At 58.0% G+C, this 16,671-nt stretch overlaps 1 protein-coding gene across 6 annotated transcripts in view, besides 1 other annotated feature; it reads left to right on the top strand.

Annotated features, from left to right (window-relative positions):
* The window catches only part of SULT4A1 (sulfotransferase family 4A member 1), a 38,005-nt gene that overhangs the window by 19,268 nt on the left and 2,066 nt on the right, over positions 1 to 16,671 (top strand). Inside the window, exons 2-7 of one of the 6 annotated variants that reach the window (XM_047441321.1) lie at positions 1,314 to 1,444; positions 3,221 to 3,301; positions 4,253 to 4,379; positions 9,512 to 9,606; positions 14,048 to 14,186; positions 15,606 to 15,732. In XM_047441321.1, coding sequence (XP_047297277.1) covers positions 1,314 to 1,444; positions 3,221 to 3,301; positions 4,253 to 4,379; positions 9,512 to 9,606; positions 14,048 to 14,186; positions 15,606 to 15,646 — 614 coding nt within the window. In that variant the 3' untranslated portion in view covers positions 15,647 to 15,732. Of the gene's footprint in view, positions 1 to 1,313; positions 1,445 to 3,220; positions 3,302 to 4,252; positions 4,380 to 7,210; positions 8,151 to 9,511; positions 9,607 to 14,047; positions 14,187 to 15,605; positions 15,733 to 16,671 lie in introns of those variants that run through there. The other 5 variants (XR_937839.4, NM_014351.4, XM_011530120.4 and 2 more) reach the window with 5 other exon arrangements.
* Positions 14,498 to 15,260: an enhancer, noted in NCBI's record as "H3K4me1 hESC enhancer chr22:44223866-44224628 (GRCh37/hg19 assembly coordinates)". NCBI's record gives its function as "activates a minimal SCP1, AML or CMV promoter by ChIP-STARR-seq in naive H9 embryonic stem cells {active_cell/tissue: H9 hESC(naive)}" and the evidence as "EXISTENCE:reporter gene assay evidence [ECO:0000049][PMID:30033119]".

Raw genomic sequence — 16,671 nt, 5'->3', positions numbered from 1 at the left:
ACAATGTCTTGCTATATTGCGCAGGCTGGTCTCGAACTTCTGGCCTCAAGCAGTCCTCCCGGTTTGGCCTCCCATAGTGCTGGGATTATAGGCATGAGTAACTGTGCCCAGCCCAGAGAGTTTCTTCATAGCCAGCTCCAAGACAGAAAGGCGGGGGAAGATTCAAGTATATTTTCAGTTTGTATGGCCTGCCTTGGGGAGAAAAAGGAACAGGTGAAAGGGGTGGGGGCAGGAGAAGGTCAGAGAGAGAGAGAGAGAGAGAGAGAGAGATGCTGTTTACTGAGACCTGCTTCTAAGGCCTGGAGTGGTCCAATATTATGACAAAAGACTGTAATAAGGGCTGGGGGGATAATGAGCCAGGAGCCATAGATGGAAACCAGCACATATCATAATGTAGCATGCTTCCATGTAATTCCCACCAGACCCAGTTAATAGCTCTAGACCCCGGAATCGCCTTTGTGTCTTCTCTGAATCAGTAACCAACCCAAAATATAAACACTGTTCTCACTTCTGTCACTATAGTTGAGTTTTGCCCATCCTTGAACCTCATGCCAATGGGACATACAGGATTGTACCCTGGAGCGCCTTGGGGTGGGAGGACTCCGTCACATCCTGTCTGTGGGGCTTGGCCATGCTGTGTCTGCAGTTCCGTCACATCCTATCTGTGGGGCTTGGCCGTGCTATGTCTGCAGTTCATTCTTTTTTGTTGCTGTGTAGTACACCATGGTGACTGTCACAACTTACTCATTCTATTGCTGATGGGTATTTGTGTTTCCAAGTGACTTTATGAATGATGTGGCCAAGACTGTTCTAGAACCTGCGTACTGGTGGACAAGCACTGGCTTCCCTTGGGTGTCTCCCCAGGATAGTTCCTGGATCATGGGCTATGTGTATATAGCTTCAGTAGATACTGGGCAGACGTCATTTCCTCATCTTGGCTAGCGGGTCATTCCCCCGACCCATCATTCCTGCGTAAACTGCCAAGTTCAGCCTCAGGTTGGGCCGAGTCACCCACCTGTTACAGCCCCTGAGCCACTTCCATAACAGGGGCTGGGTTCTGTTCTGTTCTGTTCTCCTAACAGCCCTGTGAAGCATCCTGGCCCCTCTGAGAATCAGAGCCGACTGGCCCATGACCCAGCACGGGGGATTCAGGCTGAGACCGTGCGGGGCGCGCTCCTCTTCCCAGACTCAGTCGCCCTGGGCCCCACCTGGGGCTCTTGAGCCCCTTCTTGGGCAGCAGGTGTTGACCCGAGCACAGGGCCGGGCGCGTGGGCCTCCTCTGAGCACCCCGCGCTGGGGCTTCTCCCCTCCAGGCACCAGCTTGCTGCAGGAGGTGGTCTACTTGGTGAGCCAGGGCGCTGACCCCGATGAGATCGGCTTGATGAACATCGACGAGCAGCTCCCGGTCCTGGAGTACCCACAGCCGGGCCTGGACATCATCAAGGTACCCAGGGCCAGCAGCACCTGTCCCAGCACCTCTTTAGGGTATTTCTACCGTTACACCCTGATGATTGACAGTTGCTCCTGGGGGCTCTGTGGATTAGGGGAGAGCAGATAGCCCCAGATAGCCAGGGGAGAAGCTGGCAGGCCTGAGCTGGCAGTGACCTGGAACCCGATGAGGGCGTGGGTGACACATCAGCGTCAGGGAGTCTGTGAAGTGGAAAGGAAGTCAATGCCTGGGGGGCACAGGGCTGAGGGGCCATTTGTGGGGAGCAGGCCCTGGGCCTCCCCCTCGCTTTCCCCTGGGGGCCCTCCTCTGAGGGAGCTGGGTAGGATGTGTTTGCATCAAATATTTGGTATCAAGAATGAATAAATGTTACCCCAGAGCCCTGCTCCCCGCACCCCTCAGACACACCCACAGGCACCCCCACCCCGTCCGCTGCACCTCTTTAGTTCCAGCCTCACACCTGAATGGGCCAGAACTGCAGCCTCCACCACACCTGTCCTCCTCCCTCTGGAGCAGCATTCCAAAACCCAGCTCTGAGAGTGCCATCCCACCCTGTGTCATGCTCTGAGAGTGCCATCCCTCCCCATGGCACAAGACCCCTGTGGCCCTCCAGGGCCCCTGTCTGCACCCCAGCCTCTCGGGCCTGAACGGCCATTTTGCTCTCCTTGTCCGTGCGGAACCATCTGGGAGTCGTTCCGTACTGCCGTGCCGAGGGCCACCGCGTTCAAGGCACTGCTCTTGGCATTGGGGGCAGCAGTGACTGACAGCATCAGGCCCGGCCTTTCAGCCCAGGAAGCCATAGTAGCTAGCCAGCGATCAGCGCTGGGAGGGGAGCAGATCAGGGGGGGACCAGCAGTCTCCTCTGGGGATGTCTGAGGCAGGTCCTGAAAGAGGAGAGGAGCAGAGGGACCCGTGAGCAAAGACCCCACGGCACGAGGGGCCTGGCCTTCCAGAGCAGTAGGCAAGCCTGGGGGTTGCAGGCAACGGTTCCGGGCTCTTTGGCTTCATGAGGGCTGGGCCCATTCCTAGGGCAGCTGGGAAGACGGGCTCTGAGCAGAGAGCACGGTGCTGGCTGCTTTACAGGACAACCCTGGCTGCTGATGGGAAGGCCCGAGGGGCAGGTGGAAGCAGTGAGCGCATCAGGCCAGGTTGCTGTGCGGTCCAGCGCCAGCCTGGCAGCACCCACTGGGGCTGGTGCCTCCTGCTGCCTCTGCTGCCCTCCGACGCCACTCCAAGCCGGGGCAGTAGCTCCCAGGCCCCCTGAGCAGATCCTGTGGCTGTGGCTATGATGGGTGGACTCCCCAGGCCAAAGTCAAGGACCCTTGTCTCTACCGCCAGGGTCCAGCCGGGGTGTGCTCATGTCTCCAATCTTTGTCTCAGGTGACAAGGGAGGCTGTCCTGGCTGGGTCCGAGACTCTCTCCAGGACAGGAGACCAGGGCATGACAGCCTTGCCTCCTCTTGCTCTGACCCCTCCCTACTCCTGGCCTCACCTTTCCCTCTGACCCCTACCGTTCTCCCCTGGCCCCCACCCCTTCCCTCGTCCTCTGGTCCCCCTGCTCCTGGCCTTACCCCTCCCTCTGGCCTCACCCCTCCCTCTTACCTGACGCTCTCCTGACCCCTCCGCTACCCTAGACCCGCCGTTCCCTCTGATAACTCCACTTCCCCTGAACCCCACCCCTTCCTTCCTCCTCTGGCCCCCTTCCCCTTGGCCCCACTCCTCCCCTTGGTCTCACCCTTTCCTCTGACCTGCCTCTCCCTCTGACTCCACGCAGGAACTGACCTCTCCCCGCCTCATCAAGAGCCACCTGCCCTACCGCTTTCTGCCCTCTGACCTCCACAATGGAGACTCCAAGGTAAGCTGGCACCTCCTCTGCCTCCCGAGATGAGTCCCCACCAAGAGGAGCCCAAGGTCCCTGTGCAATACACATGCAGGTCCCTGGCACTTACCTGGCCTTGGGGGCTGTCTTCCCAAGGAGCCCACACGTGAAGATCCCTTCTGAGGTGGTCTTGGGTCATGCGTCTCTAGCATTTTACCCAAGTTTTTAACGACGGGTTGGTTTTTACCTCACAGTCAAACATGGCTGTGGCCAGCCTAATCCAAAGCAGGCCAGCAGGCGTGTACCTGCTTTGGGCCGAATTCTCTTTGTTTTTCAATTGCATCAAATGCCAAGGCCTGTGGGGTTTTTTTGTTTGTTTGTTTTTTTGTTTTTGAGACGGAGTCTTAGTCTGTCGCCCAGGCTGGAGTGCAGTGGCATGGCTCACTGCAACCTCTGCCTCCCTGGTTCAAGCGATTCTCCTGCCTCAGCCTCCTGAGTAGCTGGGACTACAGGCATGTGCCACCACACCCGGCTAATTTTTCTATTTTTGGTAGAGACAGGGTTTCACCATGTTGGTCAGGCTGGTCTTGAACTACTGACCTCAGGTGATCTACCCACCTCGGCCTCCCAAAGTGCTGGGATTACAGATGCGAGCCACCGCACCCGGCCAGAGGCCTGTGTTCTTACCACCAGGATCAGGGTTGTAAGTTTTTTGTCTTCTGCAGATTTTAAAGTAGTTCTAGAGGACAGAAATAAAATGCTCAAGTAATTTTCCTGGCCAGCTCTACTGCATGGACAGGGCACCTTTCTGCTGAAACAGCGAAGCAGCAGCACCCAGCAGCCGTGCACATGGGCCCCAGCTGGACGCTGGAAGCAGGTGTTGGTTTGTGAGGTGCACCAGCAGGTTCAGGGAGGCTGGCCTGTGTCGGGGCAGCCCTGCCTGGGAGGGAAGGAGACACGGACTCATCCTGCTCCTGTCACCCACAGGTCATCTATATGGCTCGCAACCCCAAGGATCTGGTGGTGTCTTATTATCAGTTCCACCGCTCTCTGCGGACCATGAGCTACCGAGGCACCTTTCAAGAATTCTGCCGGAGGTTTATGAATGATAAGCGTGAGTGTTGCAGCCTGGCGGCATGTTAGAACCGGAGCCGTCTGTTGTCGTGGACGGCCTGGCAGGTGCTGGGTGCTTCCCCGACACGGTCTCCAGTTCTGACAGTGACCATGTAGGTCAGGCCCGCGGTCACTTTACAGATGAAGACACTGAGGCCGAGGGTCGTGAACGTGGCCGAGATCCTAGAGCTGGTGTGTGTCAGAGCAGGTCCATCTGAACCCAGAGCCCTTCTCTTCTACCACACTGTCGGGGTGTCTGAGAAGTTCCCCAGTTAAAACATCCATCCTTCCTACCTGGGTTTCAAACAGGGAGAGAATGAAAACAGTAAAAATGGAGGCCCAGGTATCACTACTGTTAGTGATAGGGCCTGGAGTGGAGACTGGAGCTAAGTGTGACAGGCATGGGCCTTTGGCTGAACCTCAGGCACAGGCAAGCTACTGGGGCAGGGCACACTTGTGCCCGCTGGGAGGAGGACAGCCGGGCTGAACCTCAGGCACAGGCAAGCCTCCGGGGCAGGGCACACTTGTGCCCGCAGGGAGGAGGACAGCCGGGCCGAGAGTGCCATGTGCTGTTCTCTGGCTTCCATTCCAGCCCCTGAGGAGGAGCGAGGCTGGGTTCCACCCTGCCCTGCTCTCAAGGAAGGCGGGACCAGGCCTCTTGTCTTGGTCCCACTCGCTCCCAGTCCTTACTCTCTTGCCCCGCTGGGCCACCTTTCCCTTGGGAGTGGTGGCAGAGCTCCTCAGTGCAGTTCTGTTCCTGCCTTCCTGAGGGGGCTCCCCATGGCCAGCCATGGCTTTGGGAGGTCCTGGGACAGAAAGTGGGCAGTGTAGGGTGTGCAGGCAGAGGAGCTTTGAAATGTGTCATAATAGCTGCACTTTAATTAAATCTACACTGAGACTCTTCCCTACCCAAGGCTGAAAATACACTTTCTGTTTTATTTCCCAACGGAAGTGATGCTGAGCCGCATTGTTCAGTGTGGCTTATCGGGGGCTCTGCAGGGGGCTTATGTGACAGGATGAGGATGAATCATGTAGCAGAGATCCTGGAACGTAATGCCCTCGAGTTTAAGTGGAACTTAGGGCAGTGGACCTAGAGCTGCTGCCAGGCCTGGTTGAAGGGGACCTCTTGGCGGGGCGGTGCAGGGCGCCACAGGCTGACTCTGTTGCTTGCAGTTTGAAAACCCACGAGGGCCTCAAAGCCCTGGGATGATTCTGTTTCCTGCCCTTGAGCCTCTGCTTCCACTGTGCCTGCTGAGAAGTGGCCCTGCCTGCAAGGGGTAGGAGGCCCCAGACCGCACCCTGAAGCCCCCTGAGCCTGCTCTGGGCCTTCTGTCCAGCCCCTCTTCCCATGGCCTCTTGGCCCTGGCACCTGCTCTTGTGGTCCACCAGGCATTTGGAGCAACCCACTCATGGACTTCTGAAGCTGTTTCCTAGGGTCCAGCATGGACTCTGCTCTCTGCAGAGCATGGGGACAACACCCACATTCAGACCAGCACGTGGAAGAGGCTACAAACATCTTGCTCAGGCCAGAGCAGTTAACAGTTCTCTTAATATAGGCCTCTCCATGTCACCACAGTCACAGACCCATCCTCCACTGAGTGCAAGGTCCCACACACGTGCCTTGGTCCCAGCAAACCCTGTAGACAGGCCCACTCAGCACCCCTGTGCTCCGTCCTTCATTGTCACTCAGTGAGCACGCACATACTGAGGACCGCTGGACCCCCTCCCTGATGTCCTGAAGACGGTGGAAACTAATATGCACGGGAACCCTGAAAGCACACCATGTCCAGACAGGCCAGGATCAGAGGCCACAGCACAGGGCAACAGCAGGAGGGTCCTGCATAAACAACCACGCGTGAGCCTGGTGACCAGCTCTGCGAGGCTGGAGGGCAAAGGGCCCTGGAGGCAGGTGACACCTGCAGTGTGAGGATGCCCCGTGACAGGCTTCCTGTGACACCTGCAGTGTGCGGACGCTGTGTAGACAGGCTCCCTGTGGCACCTGCAGTGTCAGGACGCTGTGTAGGCTGGGTCCCTGTGGCACCTGCAGTGTGAGGACGCTGTGTAGACTGGGTCCCTGTGGCACCTGCAGTGTGAGGACGCTGTGTAGACAGGGTCCCTGTGGCACCTGCAGTGTGAGGATGCTGTGTAGACTGGGTCCCTGTGGAGCCTTCAGTTTGATGTGTAGACAGGCTCCCTGTGGCACCTGCAGTTGGAGGACGCTGTGTAGACAGGATCCCTGTGGCACCTGCAGTGTGAGGACGCTGTGTAGACAGGGTCCCTGTGGCACCTGCAGTTGGAGGACGCTGTGTAGACAGGATCCCTGTGGCACCTGCAGTGTGAGGACGCTGTGTAGGCAGGCTCCCTGTGGCACCTGCAGTTGGAGGACGCTGTGTAGACAGGATCCCTGTGGCACCTGCAGTGTGAGGACGCTGTGTAGACAGGGTCCCTGTGGCACCTGCAGTGTGAGGACGCTGTGTAGACAGGGTCCCTGTGGCACCTGCAGTTGGAGGACGCTGTGTAGACAGGGTCCCTGTGGCACCTGCAGTGTGAGGACGCTGTGTAGACAGGGTCCCTGTGGCACCTGCAGTTGGAGGACGCTGTGTAGACAGGCTCCCTGTGGCACCTGCAGTTGGAGGACGCTGTGTGGACAGGGTCCCTGTGGCACCTGCAGTCGGAGGACGCTGTGTAGACAGGGTCCCTGTGGCACCTGCAGTGTGAGGACGCTGTGTAGACAGGCTCCCTGTGGCACCCGCAGTGTGGCATGCAGCCTCTGTGACCGTGTCTTCTCTGGGGTGGACAGTGAGGTTTTGTTATTCTTCCTTCATATTCCAGATGGATGATTCCCTTCCCTTTCACAGAGCAGCGTGGAGCCCAGGGAAAAGCGTGGAGGGGCCCGGCGTCCTCGCCTCCTCTCAGGCATTCCGGTGGGAAGGCTCTCCACCCAGCAACCTACAGCTCATTCCCGTCCCCCCTCCTGCTGTGGGGACTCCGTGCACTTGCTCCTCACATCAGCGCAGGACCACACGTGCAGTCCTTCATGCCTTGCTCCTTCCAGAGTCCTCACACTATTTCCCCCTGCAACTCCATGTCACCGGGATGTCTGTTTTTGACATCTTGCTACATGCTTCCTTGGAATGAAGTGGGGTTTTTCTTTACCTTCCGTGTTCACAGGGCCATTTGACTCTTCCTTCTGCCCCAGGGACTCATCTGCTTGGACTTAGCTACCGATGATGGGCTGCAGTCGGGCCACTTGGGCTTCCCTGTCTGGGCCCCCATGATTATTGACCTGTTGGTGACTTGGGCAAGTCTCTTCCCTTCTCTGGGACTCAGCTTTATTCTGCAGAAATTGGAGGTTTTGGTGGGATGTGGGTGCAGCTCCTCCGTGGGAATCCTGCCGGGTGGCAGGGCCCAGCAGAGGAGTCTCTACAGCCAGCGCTCCTCATCCAGCTGGGCTGCTTCCTGCTGCTTAGCACCGCCAGCCCCCGACTGCCCAGTGATCCTTAACTGACGCCTTGCTCTCTGTCGTATGGAGGTCCCCGTGGAAGAAACCGTCACAGTGGTGGGCACGGCATGTGGCAGGCAGGGGAGGATCCATAGCTTTTATAAAGAACACTGCAAAGCAGGCTGGAGACTCCATGAGTTGGTCCCTGCCTGTGTGCCCCACCCCACACCAAGGGCTCTGAGGCAGCGCAGGCCACGCAGGAAGCTCAGGGCTGCGGTGGGGGCGCGGGAAGCTCAGGGCTGCGGTGTGGCTGCGGGAAGCTCAGGGCAGCGGTGGGGGCGCGGGAAGCTCAGGGCCGCGGTGGGGGCGCGGGAAGCACAGGGACGCGGTGGGGGCGCGGGAAGCACAGGGCCGCGGTGTGGGTGCGGGAAGCTCAGGGCAGCGGTGGGGGCGCGGGAAGCTCAGGGCCGCGGTGGGGGCGCGGGAAGCTCAGGGCCGCGGTGGGGGCGCGGGAAGCACAGGGACGCGGTGGGGGCGCGGGAAGCACAGGGACGCGGTGGGGGCGCGGGAAGCTCAGGGCCGCGGTGTGGCTGCGGGAAGCTCAGGGCAGCGGTGGGGGCGCGGGAAGCTCAGGGCCGCGGTGGGGGCGCGGGAAGCACAGGGACGCGGTGGGGGCGCGGGAAGCACAGGGACGCGGTGTGGGTGCGGGAAGCTCAGGGCAGCGGTGGGGGCGCGGGAAGCTCAGGGCCGCGGTGGGGGCGCGGGAAGCTCAGGGCCGCGGTGGGGGCGCGGGAAGCACAGGGACGCGGTGGGGGCGCGGGAAGCACAGGGACGCGGTGGGGGCGCGGGAAGCTCAGGGCCGCGGTGTGGCTGCGGGAAGCTCAGGGCAGCGGTGGGGGCGCGGGAAGCTCAGGGCCGCGGTGGGGGCGTGGGAAGCTCAGGGCCGCGGTGGGGGCGCGGGAAGCACAGGGACGCGGTGGGGGCGCGGGAAGCACAGGGCCGCGGTGTGGCTGCGGGAAGCTCAGGGCAGCGGTGGGGGCGCGGGAAGCTCAGGGCCGCGGTGGGGGCGCGGGAAGCTCAGGGCCGCGGTGGGGGCGCGGGAAGCACAGGGACGCGGTGGGGGCGCGGGAAGCACAGGGCCGCGGTGTGGGTGCGGGAGTGCCGGCCTCTTGGAGGTCAGGACAGGACTCCCTGCCCGTCTTCAGCTTTCAGGTCCCATGGAGAGTTCCTCGATTTACTGAGGCTACTGCCTGTCGCCCTCTTGCCCAGCAGGGCCCCGTGTTCTGGATCTGTCCTACAGCTTCCTATACCCCACCCTGTCCCCACTAGCAACCCTAGCGGCCCCTGTCCCAGTTCTTCTGGGCTTTGTTCCAGGGCTTCCTGGTGACCACTTGTTAAGCGGATAAAGTAACGGGCACTGTTGCGGTCCACTGCCAGGTACCACAGGGACCACCTTCTCAGAGGCTGTCACCCCCATGGTCAGGCCTTCAAGGCGTGCCGAAGGCGGGAGGGCTGGGATGGCTCAAGACGTGAGTGCCTCGGGGGCCTTTGCCAGACTTGTCCGCAGGGATCACGATGTCCTCATCACGGCTGCTGGGTGGCAGGAGGGCAGCCCTGTGGGGTGGGGATGGCCCCATGTGTGCGCTTCTCCTGCCCAGCCGTGTGGCTCACCCTGTCCCCTGTCTCCGCAGTGGGCTACGGCTCCTGGTTTGAGCACGTGCAGGAGTTCTGGGAGCACCGCATGGACTCGAACGTGCTTTTTCTCAAGTATGAAGACATGCATCGGGTGAGTGCTGCCGGAGCAGCTGTCCTCCGGGTGCCCTGGCCCTCGGCCTGGCAGCTCCTGACGCAGGAGCCCTTTACAGTGGGCGTGTGGGAGGAGGAGGAGGGGTCTGAGGAGGGACAGAGGAGGGGGCGGGACAGTCTGTGGGCTGGAAGGGGGCTTGGGGGTGTGGGGAGCAGCCTGTCAAAGCCTGAGGTGTGGCAGGGCAGCCATGCCGTGCGAGGCTGAGGGACCCAGGAAGGCGGGTGTGGGGAGGGGACTGGGGCTTGGCTTATCAGGGGGCCTTTGGAGTGCTTTACAGTGGTGGTTGATGGGACGTTGAGGAGAGGCCACTGTCTGCAGTGAGACACGAGGCAGCTGGTAGCTTGGGGAGCCTGGGTCACCACAGAAGAGACTGAGCATTTTCTAGGTGTTGGGAGAAAGCAGGAGCTGGGGGAGGGGTTGAAAAGAACTAATGGGACAAGGTCTTAGTCCAGGCAGAGGCAGGGCTTGGGGCTGGAGCCTAGGCAGAGGGGCTTCTGGTGGCAGGGGCAGGACAGGCAGGAGACACCTGTGGCCTGGCCCATGGGAAAGAGGAGAGACGATGGGGTGCAGATGTGGACTGTGAGGTTGCTCCTGTGGGGCAGAGGCCTGAGTGCCAGCTGGAAACCATGTCGATGTAGGGGACAGACAAGGCCAGCCTGTGGGGCTGCTAGTGTCAGTGGCTGACAGACAAGCAGGTTTAGGTTGAGTAGCAGTGGGTGGGAGCTGGGATGGGGAGGAGGTCTGCTGGGAGACAGACAGGAGAGCTGGGTGCTGGGGAGGGTGAGCCAGTGCTGGAGTTGGAGGTCAGAAAGCCCAGGGGTAGGAAGGCCAGCCTTGTACTTTCCCCACACCTGCAGGAAGACGCCAGACCTGGCTGTGAACAGAGCCACACGAGGTCCCCTATGGCGCTGGGGTGGGGGCTGTGCCTTGTGGCCCTGGGGTGGTGGGGTGTTTGTTGTGGCCCTGGGGCGGGTGGTGTGTGCACTGTGATCCTGGGGTGGGGGTGTGTGCGTTGTAGCCCCGGGGTGGGGGTGTGTGCACTGTGATCCTGGGGTGTGGGGGTGTGCCTTGCGTTTCCTGCAGTTGTTCTTGGGTTGCTTTGTGCTCACACACTGGGGCCTGTGGTCAGCACGGGCCAGGTCGGCCTTCGCAGGAGCGTGGCCTTTCGGGGCTTGCTCGATGTGCAGGAAGGACCCCGTCTGCAGGTCTGCTGCCGGCTGGCGCATGCTGTCGGTTCCCCACATGGGTCCTCACCATGGCTCTGTGTTATGGTGAGGAAAGAGCAAGGTCATGTGGCGGTCTAAGGTCACACGCGCCATGGAGCCGACTGCTGGGTGAGCCTGTCTGACTCTACATGGGCCTCCACCTGTCTGCCTCTTGTCCACACAACTTGACACAGAGCCACATTTAGGGTCCCTGCTCACGCCCAGAGGACGGTGTGGTAGAGATGAAGGTGTAGCCCAAGCAGGTTGGAACCCTGGTCCTGCCGCTGACCTCTGTGAAGCCGTCGGCCGTGGTTTCCTGTGGTGCTGGGGAACAACGTGGGCTCTGGATGCTGGCTGCTCAGGCCAAAGTCCTGACCACCCCAAGCCTCTGTAAAGTGGGGAGGTGACAGCACCCCCGTCACTGTGTGGCTGGGAGGACTGTGTGAGCATCACCTACGTGCAGGCCTGGCACGGGCCCGCCTGGTGTGTACCTTTTTGTGGTGGTGTCATGCACAGTGAGGTGTACTTGGCACACACGTGGGGCTTGACAGCCTTTTACCTGTCACATCTGGGCAGCCACCTTCCAGATCCAGAACATTCCAGCTTCTTGCAGTTGATACCCCTGCTTCCCAGAGGCCACCGCGGTTTCATCTCCCTCACCGGAGCTTGGCGTTGCCTCTTTGGAACCTGTCAGGTGTGGAACTCGCATGGGTTTTGCTGTCTGGCTTCTGCGCAGATGGCGAGGCTCCTCCACCTGCGTGGCGCGGAGCTCTGTTCTTTCCTGTGCTGTGGTCGGTGCTCCGTTGCAGCACGAATGTGCCACCGCTTCATCCATCCAGTGTTGCCGGGCGTGGAGGCCATTTTCACTTTGGGGTGGTCATGAATAAAGCCTCCGTGGACGTTCTGGAGTCTTGGTGGACGTCAGCACTTGTGCTTATCGGGCCCATACCCAGGAGTGGAATTTCTGGGGTCCTGGGTGTGCATTTGTCAGCTGGTCACTATTTTGCCACCAATGACATAGCATTGAACATGCACTGCCCAGGGCCACTGAGGCCCCAACATGAGAAGGTGAATAGGGAAAGCGCCCAGCTGGCCAGCTGCCCACACATCTCGGGGGCAGCTGCCGGGTCAGCAGTTTCTTCCTGGAGCTTCAGTTTCCTCAGCAATGATGGACTGAAGTTTTAAGGTCCAAACACACACTTTACTCCAAGCCCTTAAAGGGAAGTTCATCCTTCTCTGCCTTCCAGGCTCCCCAGTGAAAGTGGTCAGACCTGTTGCTTTCAGTCCGTCAGGGTCAAGGCCACCAGCCCTGCCTGGAACTTTAAGAGCTGCCGGGGTCAGTGCTGGGACTTCATTTTCTATCAAAGCCGGTCTGTGACTCAATGGCATCCCTGGGACAGTCAGCGTTTCGCCTTCTAATTGGCATGGGTTTATTCTTTTTTTAGGAACCTCAGTAATGGCTTGTTTTAATGGAGGTCAAGTCACATTTTTAGGAATTAATATTGTTTACATCTTACTCCAGAAAACTAGCCCCGAGTGAGCATGGTTGTCTCCAGGACTGTGGTGTGGGTCCATGTGTTCTCACCCTGGGGTTGAGAGGGAATGCTTCCTGCCAGAGCGCTCACTGCCTGCGCTCCACTGCACCGCAATTACAGTGGCCCTTTCCCACGAGCCGGGCACTGTGCCAGGCACCCCGGGTATATTCCCACTTCATCCTCAGTCATCTTGCAGGGTGTTCTCACCAGTCACGGGGTGCCCTGACTGCAACCGTGTGGCCAGCTAGTACCTGCCCATGTGGAGGCACGACCCCAACACGCTGGCTCCGTGCCGTGGTGTGCGGCCTCTTGCTGCGGCCCTGTCGCTAGTTCCAGATGGGGAATGTGTGGCTCAGAGAGGTGAAGTGGGCCGTTCCTGCCAGCTGACCTGGGCGTTCTGCCTGATCCCTGCTGGGTTTCATAACCAGCAAGTGTCCTGTGACATGTTGCTGGATGTAGCCTGGCAGAAACGCCCCTTCCTCTGAGATGGACGTCACGCCGCAGTGAGCTGCCCCACGAGGATTCTGCTGAACGCTCCAGCAGGCTGACTTTAAGCCAGCTGTGTCCTTCTTGCGGCATCTCTTCTGAGAGCCAGGTTTCTTCACTCTTTCTCCATTGCTACCCTTTTTCTTTGAAATGGAGTTCTTGGTGGCAGGGCAAGGGAAAGGGAGCTCTGTATTCCTTGGCTCATTCTCTAATAACTGTTCCTCTGACTCTTGAGTCAAGCCCTGCGCCCGGGATGCACCACACCCCTGCCTGTGGAAGGCAGTGCGAGGCCAGAATCAGACCTGCAACCGCTGCTGCAGGAGTCAGCGCACTGTGGGGACCCAGGGAGGAGCTGGCGCCCACACCAGCTGACTCCCACACCAGCGGTCAGAGAACATTGTCTTTTAAGGTTTCCGAAGTGCTGCAATAAAGAAATTAAATCATCTTTTCACTGTAGGACTTTTTAGAGGCTTTAATGCGGGAATTTGCTTTACAAACCTTCCAGAGAGGAAACAGCCTCCAGCATCTTCCTAATGGGACCAAGGCACCTCTAGGTGACAGCTCAGGGCTGTGATTGAGAAGACGAGGAGCCTCATCTCTTGGGGAGAAAGTGGCAGGGGTGGGGGGCTGGGGAATGGCCCCCTCAAGACGGTTAGCCACATCAGTGACATTCCGCTGTCAGGCGTGGTAAAATAATGGGGCAGGGTATGGCAGGCATGACGGAATCTTGCCTGTGATGAAGCGGGCTCCCTGCCCAGTGCAGGGCCATCTGGAGACCAGAGGGGCCTCCCTGCGCTCCCAAGGGCCAGCCCAGACGCCAGCTGACAGGCAGCAGGAAGGGAAAGAGGAGCCCATTAGGTCTTGCTCCTCACAAGAACCATGTTCTGAAATATGTTTTTTACTTCTTGCTCCTGTTAAAACTTAACCACACCTCTATTAAGACCTCATGTCTGCAACCCAATTCCCTGGAGGACCAGGGTTTGAATTCAAGATCTCCACGTGAGAGCTGAGCACACTTGGGCGATTTCTTAACCTCTTAGTGTTATTTCTGGACAAGGCTGATGTCAGCCTTGTGAGCATTAAGTAAGGAAGGCCGTGTGTAAAAAGTCCTCAGCGTGTGCCCAGCCTGGGGTCGTGTCCAGTAAAAGGCCCCGCCTCTGATGGGCTGCTCTGCTCTCTGCACTTGTCTTCCAGGACCTGGTGACGATGGTGGAGCAGCTGGCCAGATTCCTGGGGGTGTCCTGTGACAAGGCCCAGCTGGAAGCCCTGACGGAGCACTGCCACCAGCTGGTGGACCAGTGCTGCAACGCTGAGGCCCTGCCCGTGGGCCGGGGTACGTGCCCCACCCTGCCTCCCGCCCAGGCACTCCCCACCCCAGCCAGGCTGCTTTCTCTGCCTGCTTAGGGAGCCGAGTCCGGTCCCTGTTGCCCTCCCTGCTCTCCTTTTACAGCAGTCTGTAGCTGGCCCATGGCCTGTGCTCTGTTAGCTGGTGCCCATGGATGGCACAGTGCTCATGGAGTGACGGAGTACCCTGCCCGCTGGTGTTTGCATTGCCTCCAAGCAAACAGTGTTTTGACTTGAAAAAGTGCATTTCAGGCTTTGTGGGCGGGATGTTTCTCAGCAGGGAGTCTACTCAGATGGCCTGAAATCAAACGCCCCACAGAGCAGATCCAGGGACTGGGTTTGGTGCTATGACATGTCAAAGCGCAAAGCATGCTGATGGGTTTCTCAGTCTCTAACTGACTTGTGGGAGAGTTAAATGAAGTGGGCGGGAAGTTAGGAGACACCGTTTTTCTTCCTTCACTGAGTGGACGCTGACTGAGCATCTTCTGGGTGCAGGCAGCACAGGTGAGGCCTAGCCCCACTTCGGGGTGGTGAACTTAAGCAGACAGTACCAAGCTAAGCCGCTGCACAGAGGGAGGCCAGTTCCTGCTCTTGGCGGCAAGTGACAGTGGGCATGAGGCAGCTGGAGATGGGGACAGTGTTCCTGACAGGAATCCTCCCCAGATCCACCTGGGTTGCTCCCCCTGTCCTTAAGGGTGTGTGGCATTTGGCTTTGATGATGGAGAGCCCAGGCTCTAAAACCCCTGAATCCCAGGGTGCTGGCCTTGGCCATAGGAGGCCCCCTGTTGGTAAGTATGAACCTGATGGACACTTGGTGTGTTGGGCACTTCCTGGGTTGAGAATGTTTGCAGGGAGGGCCCAGAAACGTGGATGGCTCTGTTCAGCAGCAGCCCCACAAGATGGAGTGGGAGATGCCTGGGGCGGATGAGAGACGCGCTGGGCTCCAGCTCAGCTCTGCTGCCCTCTGGGAACGCAACATAGGTCAGGCCTTCAGCTTCTGCGGCTTTTTGTTCTTCTCTGAAAAGGGGCTGATCACGGCTAAGGGCGGTTTGAAGGTCAAGTGCAAAGTGCCGTCTCTTATAAAGGCAGAGCAGTGGACTCCTCAGGAGGAAGTGAACTGAACCACAGTCCCTCTCGACTTCTTTCCTGGCTGCATTTTCATAAATATTTGTTATTTAACATTTATTTGCTCTTTTTTAGTTTTGCTTTTGCTGTGTTTTGTTATCCTTGGATGTGACCTTCTCCAAAATACCCCTTTTGGTTCACGTGTGTGTGTGTGTGTGTGTGTGTGTGGTGAAGCAGCGTCGAGAACATACTGTGTGCCCATATGCTCCTTCCCTTGGGTTTGCTTTATCATGGTTTACCTTGGTTTTGCTTTATTTCAGTTCTTTGATTTGTTTTCTTTTAGCACATTGCGTCTTTGCTCGGAAGATCTTCTTGAGTTGGTGAGAATGCAGGGCCGAGTAGCCAGCTGCATTGCTTAGATTTGATTCATGTCACAGCATAAATTGTCTTGATTCCAAATCCTAAACCAGGTGGGTGACTCCTCTGACGAGCTCTCAGCTGTCTCAGCTGAGAAAAATAATCATGGAAAAATAGTTTGGTTGCTCTAGCAGCTTCTAATTTTGCCCCTTAGGTATCATTAAAGGGTTACAAGAATAATTTTTCTTGTTTTTCTCTCCAACACTGATAATTTTTTGTTACCAAAGAGAAAGTCCGTGTTACGTTGGGTATTTTAGCTCAGCATTTGCAGGGTTGCAGTTTGAAAAACCTGAGGTCCTGCCTGGACAAGGACCGCTGTTAATAACGGAGCTAGTGAAGGACATTTGCTGGAGACAGAGCTCTGATCTCAGAGAGCTGACAATGGAAAGAATTCTAAACGAGCAGTTCTTCAAAAGCAGGGAGGCAGTACTCGGGTGATGTGCTCACAGCTCCCATAACTGGGAAGTTTGGAATCCCCGCCCCAGACATCTTCACGGTCACCGTTGCTATTGGACTAGACCAACCTAAGATTTTATATTAACAAAGACAATGGGAGCAACAACTTCTCTTGTCATGTTGAGCTGTCTTTCGTTTTTCCAAAGCCTTCATAAACCAGCGTAGACCGGTGCCTGCAGTTTATCCCACAGCTCAGCCCTCCCTTGTGGCTGCCAGGAAGAGGTCTGGGTTTCTGACTAAGCCTGGGCTAGAGCAGCTGGGGGCTGTGCCCAGACTCATTTTATTGTTGACTCAGGGAATTCTCACTGCAGTGCATGTTTTGCATCTAGTCTGTAAAGCTAGCTAATGCTGCGACTATTTGATTCACTTTAAATTCCTCCCCAGGGTTTGCCAGGGCAGGCTTCTTGAAATCTGCATCTTTGGCCCAGTCAGGAGGGCTTCCTACTTAGTGTAAAATTTTCTGCACTTTGAATGATTTTTTTTTCCTTTTCAAATTCTCCCGAAGCCAATGACGCCTTGGTGGCACTGTTGAGCTG

This window comes from Homo sapiens, chromosome 22 (assembly GCF_000001405.40).
Source record: "Homo sapiens chromosome 22, GRCh38.p14 Primary Assembly".
Taxonomy (NCBI): Eukaryota; Metazoa; Chordata; class Mammalia; order Primates; family Hominidae; genus Homo; species Homo sapiens.
Note: the sequence above shows the minus strand (reverse complement) of the source record. Positions and strands in the feature narration are given on the sequence as shown.